Source organism: Homo sapiens, chromosome X, assembly GCF_000001405.40.
Source record: "Homo sapiens chromosome X, GRCh38.p14 Primary Assembly".
Classification (NCBI taxonomy): Eukaryota; Metazoa; Chordata; class Mammalia; order Primates; family Hominidae; genus Homo; species Homo sapiens.
In genome coordinates, this window is record NC_000023.11 from 147,177,669 (window position 1) to 147,200,444 (window position 22,776).

The 22,776-nt window shown below is 39.6% G+C and overlaps 1 long non-coding RNA gene and 2 other non-coding genes across 8 annotated transcripts in view; 1 reads left to right on the forward strand and 2 right to left on the reverse strand.

Annotated features, from left to right (window-relative positions):
* Positions 1 to 3,380: 3,380 nt before the first annotated feature.
* Positions 3,381 to 22,776, forward strand: part of LOC105373347 (periphilin-1) — a 90,847-nt gene continuing 71,451 nt past the window's right edge. For 4 of the 6 annotated variants that reach the window (XR_938514.3, XR_005647083.2, XR_005647087.2 and 1 more), the window contains exon 1: positions 3,442 to 3,573. This is a non-coding gene — a long non-coding RNA (periphilin-1). Of the gene's footprint in view, positions 3,574 to 12,364; positions 12,513 to 22,776 lie in introns of those variants that run through there. The other 2 variants (XR_005647084.2, XR_005647085.2) reach the window with 2 other exon arrangements.
* On the reverse strand, positions 12,036 to 12,119 carry MIR513C (microRNA 513c). Its single transcript, NR_031709.1, has one exon. It is a non-coding gene; the product is annotated as a microRNA 513c (primary transcript).
* On the reverse strand, positions 21,376 to 21,459 carry MIR513B (microRNA 513b). The gene has a single exon (NR_031708.1). It is a non-coding gene; the product is annotated as a microRNA 513b (primary transcript).

Here is a 22,776-nt window from a genome sequence, read left to right on the forward strand (position 1 = left end):
AATTTTACTCAACTCATAAAAACACCCCAAATAGGGCTGGGCGCGGTGGCTCATAACTGTAATCCCAGGACTTTGGGAGGCTGAGGCAGGCAGATCACCTGAGGTCGGGAGTTCGAGACCAGTCTGACCAACACGGAGAAACCCTGTCTCTACTAAAAATACAAAATTAGCCGGGTGCATGCCTGTAATCCCAGCTACTCGGGAGGCTGAGGCCGGAGAACCCTTGAACCCGCGAGGCGGAGGTTGCGGAGAGCCGAGATTGCGCCATTGCACTCCAGCCTGGGCAACAAGAGCAAAACTCCGTCTCAAAAAAAAAAAAAAAAATTTATCAGTCTATTCTCAATCACCCCAACACAATCCTCCAGTCCTAGAAATACACTCATGTAGTTTTGGTCTCTACATATTTGTCAATTCTGGACATTTTCTATGCATGAAATGATACAATATGTGATCTTTTGCATCTTTCATTTACCATAATGTGGAAGACAGAGCAACAAACTAAAAAGGATTATTCTAAGACCTCAAGTTCTAACGGAATTTGCCTTGGTTAGTTTAGGACTTGCTTGGAACCCACTGCCCCTTCCTTCCCTACCAGTTCTCATTTTCAGGATGGAAATGTCTATCGCATACGTGTCCCATGATTGTATGCTGGAAGCACACATGTTGTCTGGCTTGACAGGTTCACAGCTGGAGAGGAAATTTGTCTCAGGATGAATCATACCTCAAGCCTCACCCACATCTAACTTAAATATTATTTACATGAGCCTTTGGATTTCAGACTTTGGAGTTGATGATAGAAAAAGTTAAGACTCTTTGTGTTGTTGGGATGGATTGGATGTATTTCGCATGCAAGAAGGACATACATTTTGAGGGGTCAGGCAGAATGCTACAGACCAAATCCTATATGATCAAAATTCATCTGTTGAAGCCTTAATCTTCAATGTGATTTTATTGGATGTGGGACCTTGGGAGATAATTAGGTATATATGAGGTCACAAGGGTGGGCCCCGGTGATGGGATTAGTGGTCTAATAAGAACAGGCACTAGAAAGCTTGCTGCTTGTCTCTCCATGCTTTGTAAGAACATGGAAGGGGGCAGCAATCTATAAGCCAGGAAGAGTGCTCTCATCAGAAAGAGACAATGCTGGAACCTTGATCATAGACTTCTAGACTCCATAACTGTGAGGTAATAAAATTTTGTCATTTAAGCCAACTAGTCTACGGTATTTTGTTGTGGCAGCCTAAGCTGACTAAGATACACTATGAGACCAATAATTACACTCCTGGTTATATAACCAACAGAAGTGAGTGTTTGTTTACATATGTACAGTACCACATCCAGCCGATTTTTTAATGTTTTCATAGAGATAGAGTCTCTCTATGTTTCCCAGGCTGGTCTCAAACTCTTAGCCTCAAGTGATTCTCCCACCTTGGCCTCCCAAAGCGAGAAATGAGTGTTTGCATTCAACAAAACACATGCACAAGAATGTCAATTTCACATTTACTCATAATGGCTAAAAACTGGAATGAACTAAAGGTACACCAAGTTTTGAATGAATAATTTCTGCTATATTCGTATAATGAAATACTGCAGAGCAATGAACAAGAGCAGATTACTGTTACATACAACAACTTATAACAACGTGTAACATATCACAGACAATGTAGCGAGAAAGATACCAGACTCAAAAAAGTATCTAGTGTGTGGCTCCATTTACATGAATGTCAAAAGCAGGTAAACTAGTCTATCCTGATAGAGTTCAGAATAATGGTTAATTTTGGAATATATTAGCTTGGAGAGGCATGAAGTTACCTTCTTTGGTGTTGGAAATACTCTGAGTACAATTAACATTTATGCACACTGCTATAAATATGTTTAATTCAATAAAAAATAAGGAAATTAAGGCCTATCAGGATCCACCCATCCCCAGCCAGTGGCTCACTTCATATTAACAAGTAATACTTTCCCATAATGCCCTATGAGAATGAACATGCAGCACCTAGCACGGTCCCTTTTCTAGAGAGAACAGGGCATTCAGTATTGGTTGAATGAGCGACACCATCCAGCCTTGCCTTTGAAATCTTTCACCTTCCCATTCCCTACTTCCACAGTTCCACCTGATCTCTAGCTTGTGTGATGCAAGCACCAAGGAATGTGGAGAAGCCTGAAGTTGAGGATTGGGCAGCACAAATGGAGAACAAGTGGGCAGACAGCAGACAACCTGAGAAATGAGAGGGAGAGGAAGAGGAAAGGAGGGAATAGCCTGCTCTGGAGGGAAGTGGGAGTCCCTTCATGCCCCTCTCAAGGGGTTGACATGGTGGTGGGAAATGCTGCTGAGATTGTGCCACCCATTTCAGAAGAGCTCTCTGGGCGGAATGTCAGCTGCATTAAAGTGGCTTCTGTATCAATCCCTCTTTAGGACTTGGTAATCATCTCCTTAGTACATCATCTCCCATTTTCTTACATATTACCTGGTTATATTTTTCTTTAACACAGAAAAGGAGGCAGGTACATTGTAATGAAAAGTTCCTCTTAATGAATAGACCTCTGAAAGAAAATCTGCATCAAGAAGAAAGGGGTTCCCTTCACTTCAGGACACCCTCAATGGTAGCTGTGCCACCTGAGGGAATATGCTTCAATCTCTTCTGGGAGTTAAGAGGTTGGGGCCGGGCGCGGTGGCTCACGCCTGTAATCCCAGCACTTTGGGAGGCTGAGGTGGGTGGATCACCTGAGGTTAGGAGTTTGAGACCAGCCTGGCCAACATGGAGAAACCTCATCTCTACTAAAAAAAATGCAAAAATTAGCTGGGCATGGTGGCATGCGCCTATAATCCCAGCTACTCTGGAGGCTGAGGCAGGAGAATCGCTTGAATCCAGGAGGTGGAGGTTGCAGTGAGCCGAGATCGTGCCACTGCACTCCAGCCTGGGCGACAGAGCAAGATCCTGTTTCAAAAAACAAACAAACAAACAACAACAACAACAAAAGAGAGAGGTTGGTGTGAATTCCCCGAGAAAACTATCCAGTGTAGATGCATCTTTCCCCTAAACCACTGAAGGTGACTCAGTTTGGCTGTTTTCTCTGTGGGTGTCTAAAGGAAGATGTAACATTCTGTAACACTTGTCTTCTGTCTTCAGGTATCTGCACAGCTTCACAGAAGATTATCTGGATCTGGAGAAGAGGTGGGTGTCTCTGGGAAAGAAGCAGAGAGGTGAGTGGCACAGAGGCTGTGGTGAGTGAATCTGAGGGTTTGTATCATCTCTTAGGCCTGAACACCAATGCCTTCACCTCAACACGTGAAGGGCGTGCTCACCGAGCAGCGGAGGAGAAAGGGCAAAGGGGAGGGTGAAGTCCAAGTTATTGCACAAAAGGCTGTGACCACTCCCAGGCTGATCATCCCTGGGGCTGGGAGGAAAGTTATTTGCAGAGGAGAACAAGATCAGGACTCTTCCTAACAAAGGCTGAGTAAGAAACTGGGTTTCTGACCTCTCTACCCCAGCAAGCTCAGAGTCCCCTGCCTTTCCTCTGTTCTGGCTCTGTGTGTTTGCATTACTCACTCTGTGGTTAGAAGTTCAGGTAAGTAATTCTGGAAAAGGAGCTTTTGGAAAAAGTTGCCTGGAAAACAGGACGCTGCTTGGAGTGTCATTTCTCCTTATCAATTGAATATGGACTTAGACAACTCAGCTCAGGTGAGGGGACACTCATTCTGGGTAAGGTGGAAGAGGGAGGGCAGGAGAGGGGGCCTGGCCAGGTTTTTGTAGACATTTTGATGTCAGCTTATAGGCTGATAGCAGCAGCACACTCGTCACCACACAATCAAGGTTCAACGGATTGCCTAGGACACAAATTGGTGAGTAGCTGCCACTTTGCTCATTTTTTAAAAATGTTTTAAAATTTTTCTCTACATAATTGTGTGAAGGAATGAAAGGAGGAGAGACAGGTCAGGCTTAGTGAGAATGGAGAAATGCCATTTTGACTTTCCTTTTTCAACTGTTTTTGTGTGCCTTTCCTTACACAGGGAAGAGAGAGAGAGAGAGAAAGATACAAGTACAGGATGTGCAGACATTGTGCTAAATAGCAATAGCAGTCCTCTGTGTCTGGGCAGCAGGTGATATATTTTTACATCCCTGAGTTTTGAATGGGGGGTTATCCTGATTCCTCCTACTCAGGTGAGTTTCCTTATAACATGTCAGGGAATTTCATGGGTAAATGGTGTTTATGGAGTTTTATTGCCAATCTCAAAATAGCTACACACCTCCCCAACTCCAGCCTCAAAATGTGTTTTACAACCTGAGAAAAGGAAATGGCTCTGAGTTGTGTCCTTACATGTCTAGCCATATCCAGCATTTGTTGACCTTTCATGGGGTCTGCTCATATCTTGCTTGAGCTCTGAGCCTTTCCCGTTTTAGAAAACCAGTTCAGGCCATGTAGCTATTATGTGTCGGCATGAGAACTCCGACCAAAGCCACCGTCCCTAGGAACTGTGTTCTTTTAACTCGTATGCTTTGTGGCCTCACCAGGTGAGGCCTGCCAGGAGAATAGGCAGTTGCAGAGGCTGGATCCTTTTTGTCATATAGCCACCTTCTTGGGACCTCAGTCAGGTGATGGAAGCAATCTAAAACTTCAGATTTCCTAAAGAGTGTGAGTAGGGTAATCTGATGGCCTAGGATAGTTGGAGAAGGCTCAGGAGCCTCAGGGTCTCCAAAGGACTGTGCAGGTAATTGAGTTTCATAAAATGTGGTATCATTTGTTCAGAGATGAGAAGTCTTTTTAAAATAGGCCTGACTGTTGCACGTTTGTTTGTGCTGGGTTCATTGGGATGAGGCCCCTCTCATTGAGTTTTGCTGGTTCTGGATTTAGAACACCAAATTCCCTGCTCCCTTCAGGCAGAATTTCCACCCAGAAAAAAGCACCATCTCAGAACCAAACAGTAGTGATCAAGGCATGAAAGCAGGTAAAGGGCAGTTGATTCTGAGTGCAGAAGGAAGGAGGTATGAGCTGGTCAAGTGGGATGCACGGCTTCCCTTTCCCCAGGCCCGGAGGTTTCATGGTTTTAATAAGTGACATGAACACACTATCCATACACCAAAATCATGGGTTTGCAATAGCATTTTATGCTATTTCCTGTGATTATAGATGTTTCATTTATCCATAATTTATGTTATTTAGGAGTTCTTAGTATTTTGGGGGGAGCTACCCTCCAGACATTTTTTATTTTCTTCACTTTGGGCATTTAGCAATAGTTTCCTCCAGAGGCAGCCCAGGTATTTGGAAGGCGTGATAATCCCCACAGGCTTTATTTTCATTTTTGGTGTAATGATAGATATTACTTAAGGAAAGGCACAGATCATAGGCCAGTCTGTTTATGCACTGCAAAAAAAATGCACACAGCTTCTTTTGTAGCAGGACTGGTCACAGACAAAACCTCTCGGACACCAGTTTAAGGAAGGAAGAGGCTTTAATCAGCTGGGAGCATCAGTAGACTCGCATCTCAAGGTCTGAGCTCCCCAAAGTGAAGATTCCTGTCCCTTTTAAGGGCTTACAACTCTAAGGGGTCCACGTGAAAGGGTCGTGATACATTGTGCAAGCGGGGGCTATGGGATTGAGGGCTACGTGCATCAGTAATGGGGGCTAGCAGAACAGAACAGAAAGTTTCACAGCGCTTCCTCATACGATGTCTGGCATCTACAGATAACACAAGCAGTTAGGTTAGGAGTTGATGTTTAACTACCAGGCCTGGTTTTTGGTGCCAAGCTGTCTGGCTGTTGACCTCACTTCTGCTTCTTTTTAACTTTCTGCTTCCTTTTTGAAACAGGAGACAATGGGAGAGGTGGTCTCCTTCCTTATTTTCACATTTATAATGAGCATTATAGCCTAGTGTCCGGCTAGGATTGAGACAAGCAGGGCACTGGTGACCTTTAGAGATGCTTTTGCTCATTCACAAGAATTTGATCCAGGCCTGTAAGGTGCAGGAATTGTGACTGTGATGCAGATGTAAAGCTGATGAGCAGTAAGACCTTTGCATTGAAGGCACATGCAGTCAGGTAGGGGACAGGGAGGATAGTACACAAATGGGCAACGAGAGGAGAACATGGCAGAGAGGGAGGTAAGAGTTCCTCCCCTTCCCACCCAAGAGGGTGCATGTGAATGGGGATCTCTGGACTTCAGGCCCTGGCTTCTCAACAAGATGAAGTGAAAACCACACCACTCTCTTTCTGTCTTTAGTCACCCGTTGCACCTGTGAAAAATAGTCAGGTCTTTATTTTTCTTCTTCCTTGCAGGATGCAGGGGACACAGGGCTTGGCTCAAAAGTGTTGACGTCCCTTCCTTCTCAGTGGCAAGGATAGTGTGTCTTATAGACCAGGGTGTCTGGGCTGCAGTGAGAAGTGGCCATCCTGGGGCAGCCCTGAGTGGGCCTCGGGCCCTTCCCTCCCAGACCCGGGAAGGGCACCACTGAAGAATCAAAACAGGTGAAGAGTCAGAAAGGGCCCCTATAGGAGCAAGAGGGAGACCAGCCCAGAGAACAAAGGAGTTATCTGGAAGAAAGGGTTGGTGGATGCTGGGCCCTGACTGCCCAGTGTTCCTCTGGTGCTTATCTCATCCCCTCCTGGTTCTCAAAGCAATCTCGCCATCAAGGAGTTTCCATGGTGACGGCAGTCATTCTTGATCCCTCCCACCGTCCAGCTGATTTTCGGAGGCATCTGGTGAGAGTGGGGAGGGGGTCGGAAAAGAATAACGCATTGGATTTTTGCCACCCTCTGTCTCTTGGTGTCCTTCTGAGGGGGACAGAGCAGGGGCAAGGCTGGCAGTGGTGTAGGCTGGGGTGGGGGATGAAGGCATTTGTGATACCCTTCACCTCCTGTGTTCTCCTGAGTCCCATGACTAGCATGGCAGCCGATTATTCTTACTACTCATTCCTGATTGTCTTTTTGTTCTTTTCCTTCCCATTGTTTAAGCCTCTGTTCTGAAATGTACCCTCTGATGCAGGCTGCAGGGAGAAGATGTCTCAGAGCAGCCAGGAATTTGCTGCAAGGTTTGAGTCAGGCAGCTCAGGCTCCTCTCCTCAAAACCATTCCAACTCCAAATTTGTCAATAAAAGGAAACCTGACAACTGTGGTTAATGACAGGAGCCTTAGTTGCTTTGTTCCTCTCTACCCATGAAGGTCACAGAGAACAGGGAGAGATTGGACCAGATGGTTCACAGGACAAGTGGTCTGTCTTGACCCAGAGTGGGCACACATAAAGGAATCTCTCAGTGTTCCCAAGCAATCAGCAGTCTCTTGACCCAGAATGGGTACACATAAATGAACAATTCCATGTTCCCAAGCAGTCAGCTCGGAAGTATCTCAGCAATCTAGCACTATTGGGTCAGCAAACCACCTGGGCTCCTTCCAACTCTAAGCAAAAAATGTGCCTAAAGAAGTGAAACATATCACTTGTGCCAGCGATGTTAAAGGTGCTCCATCCAGGCTAACACAAGTACAAAAATTCTTAATAATTCTTGGTATTTGTCAGAGAGCCCCCACCTTTTATCAATGTAACCCTGTGAAGTTTCACTTTACAAATAACAACAAAGACATATCCCGTAAACTAGAATGAAAATACTGTGTAGATTTTGTGTGTGCTTTGGTAACAATGACTCCCAATGAGTCAGGTGTTCCTGTGAAAACACCATTTTGCAATGAGACTTTTTGTCTCTCTCCTTTCAGGGTTTGAATTCATTTCCTTATGCGGTGATGCTGGCTTGGTTATTTTGATCAGTGAAATCTTTCTGATGTGACATTGCTCACTTTCCTAGGCTGAGTCCTAAGATGTTTCACAGTTTCTGTCTTTGCCCTTTTGGAGTCTTGAGCTCCCCACGCTGAGAACAATTCCAGAATGAAAGACCAGCTGGAGGGAGAGGCCCAGCCATGCTAGCTGTTCCTGCCATTCCAGTTGGAACTGCATCCTTGTGAGGGGGCATTCTAGACCACCCCAGAGTAGATGTCTGTAGTTGCATGTTTGAGCCCAGGTGAGCCTAAGCAGAAGAAACTCCCAGTGAACTCACTGAATCATAGAAAACTGTAATCACTGTTTTCTGGCACTGTGGTTCAGGATGGAATGCAGCCATAGGTTGAGTATCAGGTTTGATCCTCTTTAGTCTTGCGTGTAAGTATCCTTTCGTGTTACAGTATAACCCTAGGATCAGACTACGGACTTGGTTCACAGCATTAAACAACTTATTTAACTTCTCTAAGCTGCATTCTTTATCTGTAAGTTCATGATAAAAATAACTACTGCCTTCTGAGGGTTTTGAGTGGATTAAATGTGATAATACATGTATGTTCTTAATGAAAAAAATTATGGAACAAAATCTAAGAAAAAGAAAATACTATTTAAAATGGAATATTTTAGTAAATCTGAAAGTAGAAAACACTTAGAAAACATTTAAAATATTTAAAATGCTAAAAAAGTCAGAAATCAATCAGAAAAATATTGTATGATAGAATGAAACAGCACATAAAACCATGTTTCACAATTATTAGGCTAATGTTTTTATAAAACATTCATGATGCATTATTTGAAATCATTTATAAGAAAATGGCACAAAATTGTTGACCCCATCCTAAAACCTAAGTATAAATACAGATAAATGTGTGGAAAGATCCACATCTAAATTTTATCAAACACTGTATCCACATTATGATGTTACTGGAATTATTTCATTACTGCTATTCATGTTTTTCACACCTTGTATGTGCTTTCCACATTGTTCTGTAATAAATAGGAATTATCCTCATGGTCTGAAAAAGAAATACATCAATAAAAATGTAGTTTTCTTTGGCAGAATTCTGATATAAGAATAACTCGGACAGGTGTAAAAGTTGTTTTTGGCAGTTATTTTTCCTCTTTTGAGCTTCCTGAATCTATACATACTCAGCCTGTTCAGTTAGAGTTCTTGCCTTTCCATGTTCCTGACTCCTAAGCTGAACACATTTTAATTTATTATATATTATGAGGATAAACTAATATATTCACATTAACGAGGTGACGAAATTATAGTATAGCAAGGAAGGTCCAGAATGAATACGTAAACATTAAACCAGGGTTTTTCATGTGCTAGGACTACAACACAGATCAAAACAGCTTCAACACATGCTAACAGAACTGACATTTTAAAACACAGATAATTTTTACAAAGTAACTAGTAAAATACTTAGTATACACAGGAGTGCTAAATTATATGTAGTTATTTATGCTGGATATATGTTATATGTAATTCAATAATGTGATAAATATTTTTATTCTGTAATTTGCCTTTTTATTATCTCAGTGGTCTTATTTGAAGACGTCTTAATTTTTTCAAAGTCTATTTTATCAATTTATTTTTAATAAATTTTATTTTTATATTTTGATATCATATGTAATAATTTAATGGTCAAAAATATTTTCTCTCATTTTTTTCATGCAATTTGATAGTTTGACGTTTTGGCTTAAGATTGTGTTAATTTCTGTATGTGGTTTGAAATACGATCAAGGTTCATATTTTTTATATATCTCACATTTCCCAGCATCTTACTGTTTAAATACTATCATTTCTTCATTAGATTGACTTTACAGCTTAGTCAAAATGAATTGGTGACATATATGGATATTTCTGGTCCTTCTATTTGTCCATCCTTTCTTCAGTACCACAGTACATTGGGTAATCTAATTAGACAGTAAATCTGGAAATTACAAGTGTAAATTTTCCAGCTTTGTGATTCTCTTTCAGATTGTTTTGGATATTCTAGTTTATTCGCCTTTTATATCAGTTTTAGAATCATCTTGCTAATGTCTACAAATATTTTTCTGGGACATTGGTTGGAATTGTATTACTTCTAGAGATTAATGGAAGTCTAAAAGTCTATAGATTTGAATCCTTCAATCCATAAATATGATAGTCCTCGCCACTTAATTAGTATTTTTTTTTAGTATATTTACAGTTTTAGCATACAGATGTTTTGGGGTTTCTATTGATACTGTAATAAATTGCCACAGATTTAGTTGTTTACAACAACACAAATTTATTATATTAGAGTCTAAAGGTCAAAAATCTAAATTAGGTTTCTCTTGGCTAAAATGAAGGCATTGGCAGGGCTTTGTTCCTTCTGTTGGCTCTAGAGGAGAATCTACTTGATTGTCTTTAGAAGATTCTAGTTACTTTCTCCATTCTTTGGCTCATGGCCTTTACCTCTACCTCTAGTCAATACTATAGTATTTTGCAATGTTTCTCATTCTAACCACCTTTCTCCAACGTATAAGGGCCCTTGTGATAATGTTGGGCTCACCTAGATAATCTAGGATAATCCCAATCTCAAAATATTTAATAACATCTACAAATTTTCTTCTACAATAAAATATGATGCTTACGAGTTCAGGGGTTACATTGTGAACATTGTTTGGGCGGGGGCTGTTACTCTGCCTACCACAGAGATCTTGTAATTTTTTCTTAGAGTTTCAAATAAATATTTTATGTTCATATTTTATTTTTCAATTAGCTTGATTTAATCATTGCATAATGTACACATATATCAAAACGTCATGTTGTACACCTTAAATATGATTTTTATGTCAGTTAAACCTTAATAAATTGGAAGAAAAAAGGCTGAGTAATACAAAACAGTATTTCACTGAAAAAAAACACAAATACCAGTAAATATACTATTCTTTTGAGAAATCATAACAGAGGTATGATAACAACTAAATTCTCTTTTATTTCATTTTAAGATATCACTTAAAGTTATATAAGTAAACATGCATCACTATAATACAGTTTTAGAAATTATATACTAAAAACAGTTATCACTTTGGAAAATTCTATGTACATACAGTATTGCAAAGTGACAAAATTTTTTTACTGTTCAGAATGTTGCCCCCACCCCAAAAAGATTGTATGTATTCTATTATTACAATGTTTTTCATTATGGAAAAGATACTTCAACTGTTTTTTTTACTTTCAGACATTAATGGTCTTATACATATTCATACATTCTGAATCTAAAAAAACATAAACCAAAATCCTGCCTGTAACCATATAGTAATTGTTTTTTATAGTTTTTCCCTTTCGGTGTTTATGCTGTAGCCTCTGTTTCAGTTGGAATCAAAATTGTATTAATCACTTACTATTTATAACATTTTTTACACATTTCCACAATATAAATAGCTTATTTATAACCTACTTCCCAAACATGTATACTAGATTAATGCTGCAGATGGCCTTACATAGTCTGGTGCTTGTCTTTCTCTTGCATGTTCTCTCTCTCTCTCTCTCCTCTCTCTCTCTCTCTCTCTCTCTCTGTGTGTGTGTGTGTGTGTGTGTGTGTGTGTGTGTGTGTGTGTTTATTTCCCTCTATTTCTCTCCATTAGGTTAAGAGTTAAGCGTCACCAAAAGAAAATGGGGAGAGAAGCCTAGGAGATATCTCTTGAGTATCAATTCTGTCATACCCTTCCATTCTTCAAATATACTCTTAAAAAATGGGGAAAAAAGATAATTAAAAAGGGTGAAATATTCTTGGGTGGACTATGCTTAACCCTTCATAAATTGGTGACTGAAGGCTTTGAAAGGTATTTTAACAGTCAATGAGAAAATGTTTTAGTCTTTGACAGAAAATGGACACTGTGGATCAGCAATGAAGGGACCTGAGAGGCAGGAGAGCCTTTTGGGAGCACTAAAGGACAATCCTTGCAAATGATGACTAGTTGATCAGTGAAAAGAGTTTAGAGAATTGAGGAATCTGGAGTAAAATGTCTCAGCTGACGAAGAATGGCTGTGGCCTCTATACAACGTATTTCTTATTTGAGCCAAGCCTCATTTGGCAAAAGTAGATAAATTCTTAAGGAACCAAAGTGCATGCGTTTTCTCAGGAGTCCACAGTTCTTATGTGTAGTCGTCTAGAAGGCACAAAAAGTTCCTTGAAGTAGCCCAGCACTGAGGAGTGGGTGCACAGGATGCAAAACAGGCATCACCATGCTCGCAGCTACAGCCCCATCCCTAGGGACACCACATATGCAGTGCATGCTGTACATTACTCTTCTCAGAAAGGTGAAATTTATATTTTAGTTCACATAAACGACACCTCCTTGAGAAAGGCACTGTACGCTGAATGGCTGAATGTGGCATCCCAGACCAAATGTTCCCTATTCATGCCGTTTTTATTCAAGTCCCTATAGGTGTATGCCTTCGCATGGCCACCAAGATTTATGCCAAGTAACAATGCAACTTCTAGCCCCTAGCACTCCCCTTTTCACCCTGCCCTGAGTGAGATATTAACATGCAGATTTTTGTTTTGTTTTGAGACGGAATCTGGCCCAGACTGGCATGCATTGGCGTGATCTTGGCTCACTGCAACCTCCGCCTCCCGGGTTCAGGTGATTCTGCCTCAGCCTCCTGAGTAGCTGGGATTAAAGCTGTGCACCACCATGAACAGCTAATTAACACGCCGATTTTTAGGCTGAGCAATGATAGAGCTTTTCACTTCTCCTCTTTTTCAGAGGTGAGTTATCCTTGTCTGAATTATCCCATTGGTTTTCCTGTAATTTTGCTTGTCTCATTAAAAATCCTCAAAGTCTTTGCTATTGTGAATAATGCCGCAATAAACATACGTGTGCATGTGTCTTTATAGCAGCATGATTTATAGTCATTTGGGTTATATACCCAGTAATGGGATGGCTGGGTCAAATGGTATTTCTAGTTCTAGATCCCTGAGGAATCGCCACACTGACTTCCACAATGGTTGAAACCAACCCAAATGTCCAACAATGATAGACTGGATTAAGAAAATGTGGCACATATACACCATGGAATACTATGCAGCCATAAAAAATGATGAGTTCATGTCCTTTGTAGGGACATGGATGAAATTGGAAATCATTCTCAGTAAACTATCGCAAGAACAAAAAACCAAACACTGCATATTCTCACTCATAGGTGGGAATTGAACAATGAGATCACATGGACACAGGAAGGGGAATATCACACTCTGGGGACCGTGGTGGGGTGGGGGGAGGGGGGAGGGATAGCATTGGGAGATATACCTAATGCTAGATGACGAGTTAGTGGGTGCAGCGCACCAGCATGGCACATGTATACATATGTAACTAACCTGCACAATGTGCACATGTACCCTAAAACTTAAAGTGTAATAAAAAAAAAAAAATCCTCAAAGTCAGGCTAGGCTCGGTGGCTCACTCCTGTAATCCCAGCAATTTGGGAGGCCAAGGTGGGCAGATCATCTGAGGTTAGGAGTTCGAGACCATCCTGGACAACGTGGGAAAACTCCCATCTCTACTACAAATACAAAAGATTAGCCCGGCGTAGTGGTGGGCGCCGGTAATCCCAGCTACTCTGGAGGCTGAGGCAGAAGAATCACTTGAACCCAAGAGGCAAAGGTTGTAGTGAGCCAAGGTTGCACCTTTGCACTCCAGCCTGGGCAACAAGAGTGAAAATCTGTCTCAAAAAAATCTTCAGACTCAGCCGGGCATGGTGGCTCATGCCTGAATTCCCAGCTCTTAGGGTGGCCCAGGTGGGGAGATCACTTGAAGCCAGAAGTTTGAGACAATCCTGACCAACATGGTCAAACAAACATGGTAAAACACCATCTCTACTAGAAATACAAAAGTAGCCAGGTGTAGTGGCTTGCACCTGTAATCACAGCTACTCTAAGCTGAGGCAGGAGAATCACTTGAACCAGGAAGGCAGAGGTTGCAGTGAGCAGAGATGGTGCCAATGTACTCTAGCCTGGGTTACAGAGCGAGACCCTGTCTCAAAAAAACAAAAACAAAAAACCCTTAAAATTACAGTTAAGTACAAAGGACCAACCACTCACTAAAGCTTTCTGTTGTCCTAAAACTCCAGCTGTGCTGCACAGACCTAAATTCCAACAGAAAAACCACAGAATACAACCACCTGGATGCAGAGAAGTGCAGAAGAGTCAGAGAAAACTAGGTTAGAGAGAGCAGAAATTTAATTTCTTCTTCAGGCTATGCAGGGGGAAGAATCCATAGAAATTAATACGAGAGAGAGACGAGACAGATAATGGGCTGGAAGACAGGAAATGCTATTCTATTTCTCTTAGCTCCATGGTTCTTTATCGTTCATTTATTGGGGTGCTCTCTCTGTGTGTGTGTGTGTGTGGGCGGGGTGGTGTTATTAATAATTAATAAGATTTTTTAGCTTTAATATTTAGTGTTTGCATTAATATATTTTCCATCTTTTTACTTTTACCCAACTTTCACATAGGTCTTCATATTTAAAATGGGTTTGTTTGACATAGTATATTAGTGGTTTCTTATTTTTATGTAATTTGACAATCTCTGTCTTAATAGAAGCATTTATATCATTTATATTAATACAATTATTTATATATGTGCATTTAAATCTACCGGTTTTCTAGTTGTTTTCTATGTTTCATCCTTTTCTAATTCCTATTTTCCTGTTTTTCTGCCTGATGGCAGACTCAGTATTTTTATCATTCAGTTATATTTTCTGCACTCTTATTAGTTGGTCACTTAAAAAAAGATAGTGGTTGCTCTGGAGTTTCCAGTGTCCATATTTAATTCATCACAGTCTATCTTCAAAGAATATGATCCTACTTTTTGTATAGTTTAAAAATCTTATGATGGTATACTTACAATTCACCCCATCCTTTGTAATATATATGTTAATTACTTTCATTAATGTTCTAATTCCCACATACATATTTATTCACACTGTTATCTGTTACTGACTGATTGAAAATAATAAAATAACCCCTGTATGAACCCCAAAAATTTGAGGACAGGTCTCAGTTAATTTAGAAAGTTAATTTTTCCAAGGTTGAAGATGCACACCTGTGATCCAGCCTCAGGAGGTCCTGATGGCATGTGCCCGAGGTGATCAGAGCGCAGTTTGGTTTTATATATTTTAGGGAGTAATGAGACAGCGATAAAAATATGTAAAATGAACGTTGGTTTGGTCTGGTCCAAAAAGGTGGGAAAACTCGAAGTAAAAGTGGGACAACTCAAAGTAGGGAGGAGGCTTCCAGGTCACAAGTAGGTGAGAGACAAACGGTTGCATTCTTCTGACTTACTAACCTTTCCAAAGGAGGTACTCAGATACACATTTATCTCAGTGAGCAGAGGGGTGACTATGAGTAAAATGGGAAGCAGGTTTGTCCTAAGCCGTTCCCAGCTTGAATTTTCCCTTTAACTTAGTGATTTTGGGGCCCGAGATATTTCTGTTTCACATCCATATCGTCATCTTCATCATTTTCTGGGTTTTTAGTTTGTTCGTGTAGATTAGATTCATGTTTCTGCCCGGTATTTCTTTCTGCCTGAGGAAATGTGTTAACATGTCATGTAATGCATTTCTACTGGGGTGAATAATCTAAATTTTCTTTGTCTGAAAAAAATTGTCATTTGTGTTTATTATAGAGATAATGTGAGTCCATCAAAATCAGTATTTATCTCTCAAAATTGTTTGCTTTTTTCTAACTGTAAATTTCTAAGAAATTTACACTTCCTATCTCTGTGCTAAAATTCCTCATTTGCTCATCCATGATGTCTACTTTTTCCAATAGTGATGTGGTTTGGATCTGTGCTCCTGCCTAAACCTCATGTTGAATTATAATCCCTAATGTTGGAGGTGGGGCCTGGTGGGAGTTGTTTGGATCATGGGGGTGAAATTCTCATGAATGGTCTAGCACCATCCCTTTGGTGCTGTTCTCATGATCGTGAGTTCTCACGAGGTCTGGTTGTTAAAACGTGTGTAGCACCTCCCCAGCCTCTCTCTTCCTCCTGTTCTAGCCATGTGAGGTGCTAGCTCCTCCTTTGAATCTGCCATGGTTGAAAGTTTCCTGAGGCCTCCCAGCCATGCTTCCTGTACAGCCTAAAGAAGCATGAGCCAAATAAAGATACCTAAAAATGTGGAAACAGCTTTTGCATTGGGTAACAGGCAGAAGTTGAAACAGTTTGGAGGGCTCGGAGGGAGACAGGAAGATGAAGGAAAAGTTGAAATTTCCTAAAGAATTGTTAAATGGCAGTCATTAAATTGCTGATAGTGATATGGACACTAAAGGCCAGGCTGAGGAGGTCTCAGATGGAAATGAGGAACTTATGGGGAAGTGGAGTAAAGGTCACCTTTGTTATGGATTAGCAAAGAAACTAGTGGAATTGTGCCCCTGCCCTAGGGATCTGTGGAACTTTGAGAGTCATGATTTAGGGTTTCTGGTAGAAGAAATTTCTAAGCAGTATGGCATTCAAGATGGGGCCTGGTTCCTTCTAATAACCTATGCTCATGTGTGTCAACAAAAAAAGATAGAAAACTGGCACTTACTTACTTATATTTAAAAGGAAAGCAGAGTGTAAAGCTTTTGAAAATTTGCAGCCTGGCCAAATGGTAGAAAATAAAAACCCATTTTCTGGGGAGGAATTCAAGCCAGCTGCAGAAATCTCCTGAAGTTACAAGGAGCTGAATGTTAATAGCCAAGACAATGGGGAGGCCTGAAAGGCATTTCAGACACCTCTGCAGTAACCCCTCCTCCCATCACGGTCTGAGAGGTTTGGAGGGGAGAATGCTTTCGTGGGCCACACCCAGGGTCCCACTGCCCTGTGCAATGTCTGGACACTGCTTCCGATAGCCTGGGTGCTCCAGTGTCAGCCTCTGCCCAAAGGGCGCCCAATACAGCTTGAGCCACTGGTTCAGAGTGTGCAAACCATGAGCCTTGGTGGTTTCCACTTGGTGTTAAGCCTGTGGGTGCCCAGAGCAAGAGTTGAGTCTTGGGAGCCTTGGCCTAGATTTCAAAGGATGTATAAAAAAGCATGGATGTCCAGGCAGAAGCCTGCTGCAGGGGTGGAGTCCTCATGGAGAACCTTTACTAGGGCAGTTCAGAGGGGAAATGTGGGGTTGGAGCCCCCATGCAGAGTCCACAATGAAGTACTGCCTAGTGGAGCTGTGAGAAGAGGGCCACCATCCTCCAGACCCCAGAATGGTAGATCCACTGACAGCTTGTAATAGGGCCTGGAAAAAGCGTAGGTACTCAATGCCAGCCCATTGGGGGTTGAACCCTTCAAAGTCACAGGGTTTGAGCTACCCAAGGCTTTGGGAGCACTCCCCTTCTGCCAGTGTGCCCTGGATGTGGGACATGAATTGAAGGAGATTATTTTGGAGCTTTAAGATTTAATGACTTCCTTGCTGGGTTTCAGATTTGCGCAGGACCTGTAGCCCCTTTCTTTTGGCTGTTTTCTCCCAAGTATTTACCCAATGCTTATACCTCCATTGTATCTTAGAAGAAGTTAACTTGTTTTTTATTTTACAGGCCCATAGGCGGAAGGAATTAGCCTTGTCTCAGATGAGACTTTGTACTGTGGACTTTTGAGTTAATGCTTCAGTGAGTTAAGACTTTGGGGGAATGCTGGGATTGTAGTTTGCAAAGTGAGAAGGACATAAGATTTTGGAGAGGGAAGGGCAGTATTATAAGGTTTGGATCTGTGTCCCCACCACAATCTCAGGTTGAACTCTAATCTCCAGTGTTGGAGGTGGGGCCTGGTGGGAGGTGATTGGATCATGGAGGTGGAATTCTGGTGGAAATAAATAGCAAAAAAGCCCACTATTTAAAATGGAATATTGTAGTAAATCTGAGAGAAACTAGACAAGACTTAGAAAACATTTAAAATATTTAAAATGCTATAAAAGCAATTCAGAAATCAATCAGAAAAAAAATTGTATGATAGAATGAAACATGGCATCTAAAATGATTTTTCAAAATTATTTACCTGGTAACTCAATGTTTTTATAAAATATTCATGATGCATTACAAAATTGTGGACCCCAACCTGAAACCTAAGTAAGTGTAAATATAGATAGATGTGTGGAAAGATCTACATCTAAATTTTATCAACAACTGTATCCATATTATATGATGTTACTGGTATTATGGTATTATTTCATTACTGCTATTCAAGTTTTTCATACCTTTTATGTGTTTTCCAAGTTGTTCTGCAATAAACAGGAATTGTGCTCGTGGTCCAAAAAGGAAAGATATCAATAAAAATGTAGTTTTCTTTGACAGAATTCGGATATAAGAATAACTTGGAAAAATGTAGAATTTGTTTTTGGCAGTTACTTTCCCTCTTTCGAGCTCCCTAAATCTATATATACTCAGCCTATTCAGTTAGAGTTCTTGCCTTTCCATGTTCCTGACTCCTAACTCTAATAAATGTTGTTAACGCATTATAAATTATGAGGATAAACTAATATATTCACATTAATGATGTGACAAAATTATAGTATAGCAAGGAAGGTCCAGAATGAATACGTAGCCATTAAACCAGGTTTTTTTCATGTGCTAGGACTACAACACAGATCAAAACAGCCTCATAGAACTGACATTTTATTGAAAAACACAGATACTTTTTAAAAAGTAACTAGTAAAATTCTTGGTATACACAGGAGTGTTAAATTATATGTAGTTATTTATGCTGGATATATGTTATTTATCACATTATTAAATTACATATATTTTTAGTATTCTGTAGATTGCCTTTTTATTATCTCAGTGGTCTGATTTGAAGACAAATTTTAATTTTTTCAAAGTCTATTTTATCAACTTATTTTTAATTTTACTTTTATATTTTGATATCATATATAATAATTGATAGGATGCCTATGGTATATTATCGGGGGAAAAAAGTTACTGAAAGGTAAAGAAGATTAAAAATAAATATCTATATAAATAAAAAAATATATATATATTCTGCCTTTTATTCATAAAATTTTATACTTGGACATTTTGGCCTAAAATTGTGTTATTTTCCGTATATGGTTTGAAATATGGATCGAGGTTCATATTTTTCATATATATATATATATATATCACATTTTCCAGTATCTTGTTTAAATACTATCATTTCTTCATTAGACTGACTTTACAGCTTAGTCTAAATGAATTGGTGACATATATGTATATTTCTGGTCCTTCTATTTGTCCATCCTTTCTTCAGTACCACACTATATTGGCTAATCTAGTTAGACAGTAAATCTGGAAATTACAAGTGTAAATTCTCCAACTTTGTGATTCTCTTTCAGACTCTTTTGGATATTCTAGTTTATTTGCCTTTTATATCAGTTTTAGAATCATCATGGTAATGTCTACAAATATTTTTCTGCGACATTGGTTGGAATTGCATTACCTCTAGAGATCAATAGAACTCTATAAGTCTATAGATTTGAATCCTTCGATCCATAAATATGATACTCCTCTCCACTTAATTAGGAATTATTTGATTTCCTAGTGTATTTACACTTTTAGCATACAGATGTGTTTGGTTTTCTATTGATACTGAATCAAATTGCCACAAATTTAGTTGTTTCCAACAACACAAATTTATTATATTAGGGTCTAAAGGTCAGAAATCTAAATTAGGTTTCTCTTGGCTAAAATGAAGGCATTGGCAGGGCTTTGTTCCTTCTGTTGGCTCTAGAGGAGAATCTACTTGATTGTCTTTAGAAGAAGATGCTACTTGCTTTCTCCGTTCTTTGGCTCATGGACTTTACCTCCACCTCTAGTCAATACTATAGCCTTTTCCAATGTTTCTCTTATTCTAACCGCCTTTCTCCTACTTATAAGGACCCTTGTGATAATGTTGGGCTCACCTAGATAATCTAGGATAATCCCAATCTCAAAATATTTAATTTAATCACATGCACAAATTTTCTTCTGCAATAAAATGTGTTGTTTACAAGTTCAGGGGTTACTCTGTAAACATTGTTTTGAGGGGGCTGTTATTCTGCCTACCACAGAGATCTTGTAATTTTTTTCTTAGAATTTCACCTAAATATTTTATGTTCATATTATTTTATTTTTCAATTAGCTTGATTTAATCATTTCCTAATGTACACATATATCAAAACATCATGGTGTATACCTTAAATATATACAACTTTTATGTCAGTTAAACCTTAATAAATTGGTAGAAACATGGATGAATAATACAAAACAGAATTTCTCTGAAAGAAAACATAAATACCAGTGAATATACTATTCTTTTTGAGTAAATCATAAAAGAGATACGATAACAACTAAATTTTCTTACTTTCATTTTAGGATATCACTTAAAGTTATATAAGTAACATGCTTTCACTATAATACAGTTTTAGAAACTATATACTAAGAGGAGTTATCACTTTGGAAAATTCTACGTACATACAGTATTTCAAACTGACAGAATTTTTTTACTGTTCAGAATGTTCCCCCCGACCCACACACACATACAAAGATTCTTTGTATTCTATTAGTGCAATTGTTTCATTATGGAAAAGATACATCAACAGATTTTTTTTTTTACTTTCAGTTACTAATGGTCTTACACATATTCATCCATTCTGAATCTAAAAAAAAAAACATAAACTAAAATCCTCCCTGTAACCATATAGTAATTTTTTAACAGTTTTTCCCTTTCAGTGTATATGCTGTAGCCTCTATTTCAGTTGGAATCAAAATTGTATTAATCACTTACTATTTCTAAAACATTTTTTACACATTTCCACAATATAAGTAGCTTATTTATAACCTACTTCCCAAACATGCATACTGGTTTCATGCTGCAGAAGGCATCACACAGTCTGGCGCTTGTCTCTCTCTCTCCCTCTCCCTCCTTTTCTCTCTCTCTCTCTGTGTGTGTGTGTGTGTGTGTGTGTATTTATTTCCCTCTCTCTCTCTCTCCATTGGGTTAAAAGTTAAGAAGTGTCACCAGAAGAAAATGGAGAGAGAAGCCTGGGAGACATCTCCTGAGTATCAGTTCTGTCACACCCTTTCATTCTTCAAGTGTATTCTTAAAAAATGGGGAAAAAGATAATGAAAAAGAATGAAATATTCTTGGATGGACTATGCTTAACCCATTGTAAACTGGTGACATATAGCTTTGAAAGGTAATTTAAAAGTCAATGAAAAACATTTTAGTCTTTGAGAGACAAATGGACACTGTGGATCAACAATGAAGGGACCTGAGAGGCAGGAGAGTCTTTTGGGAGCTCTAAAGGAGAAGCCTTGCAAATGATGACTAGTTGACAAGAGAGAAAAGTTTAGAGAATTTAGGAATCTGGAGTACAACCTTCCAGCTGACGAAGAATGGCTGTGGCCTCTATACAATGTATTTCTTATTTGAGCCAAGCCTCATTTGGCAAAAATAGTTAAATTCTTAAAGAACTTGAGTGCATGCGTTTTCTCAGGAGTCCACAGTTCCTATGTCTAGTCGTCTAGAAGGCACAAAAAGTTCCTTGAAGTAGCCCAGCACTGAGGAGTGGGTGCACAGGATCCAAAACAGGCATCACCATGCTCGCAGCTACAGCCCCATCCCTAGGGACACCACATATGCAGTGCATGCTGTACATTACTCCTCTCAAAAAGGTGACATTTATATTTTAGTTCACATAAATGACACCTCCTTGTGAAAGGCACTGTACACTGAATGGCTGAATGTGGCATCCCAGACCAAATGCTCCCTATTCATGCCATTTTTATTCAAGTCCCTATATAGGTGTATACATTAGCATGGCCACCAAGATTTATGCCAAGGAATTATGCAAATCCTAGCCCCCAGTGCTCCCCTTTCATCCTGCCCTGAGTGAGATTTTAACATGCAGATTTTTGTTTTATTTTGTTATAATCCCAGCCACCCAGGAGCTGAGGCAGGAGTACACCTTGACCCTGGGAGTCAGGTTTCAGTGAGAGGAGATCAGGCCACTATACTCAAGCCTGGGTTACAGAGTGAGACCCTGTCTCAAAACAAAAACAAAATGTAATAGAAAAAAAAAAAAAAAAAAAAACATAAAATTACTGGTTAAGTAGAAAGGACCAACCACTCACCAAAGCTTTCTGTTGTCCTAAACTCCAGCTGTGCTGCACACACCTAAAGTCCATCAGAAAAACCACAGAATACAACAACCTGGATGCAAAGAAGTGGAGAAGAGTCAGAGGGTAACAGGTTGGAGAGAGTAGAAATTTCATTTCTTCTTCAGGCTATGGAGCAGGAAGAACCCATAGAAATTAATACAAGATACACACAAGACAGATAATGGGCTGGAAGACAGGAAATGCTATTTTATTTCTCTTAGCTCCATGGTTCTTTATAGTTCATTTATTTGAGTGCCTGCTCACTCGCTCTGTGTGTGTGTGTGTGTGTGTGTGTGTGTTATTAAATAGTAATAGCTGTAAGATTTTTAGTTCTAAGATTCTTTGCATTAATATATTTTCCATCCTTTTACTTTTACCCAACTTTCACGTAGGTCTTCATATTTAAAATGGCTTTGTTTTAGAAAGTATATAGTTGTTTCTTATTTTTATATAAATTGACAATCTCTGTCTTAATAGAAGCATTTATATCATTTATATTAATACAATTATTTACATACATGCATTTAAATCTACTGGCTTTCTGATTGTTTTCTATGTTTCATCCTTTTCTTATTCCAAATTTTCCTCTTTTCTGCCTGATGGTGGATTTAGTATTTTTAGCATTCAGTTATATTTTCTCTACTCTTGGCGTATTAGTTAGGTCACTTTAAAAAATATAGTGGTTGCTCTAGGGTTTACAAAGTTCATATTTAATTCATCACAGTCTATCTTCAAAGAATATTATACTACTTTTTGGCTGAATAGGAACAGCTCCAGTCTGCAGCTCCCAGTGTGATCAATGCAGAAGACGGGTGATTTCTGCATTTCCAACTGAGGTACCTGGTTCATCTCATTGGGACTGGTTGGACAGTGGCTGCAGCCAATGGAG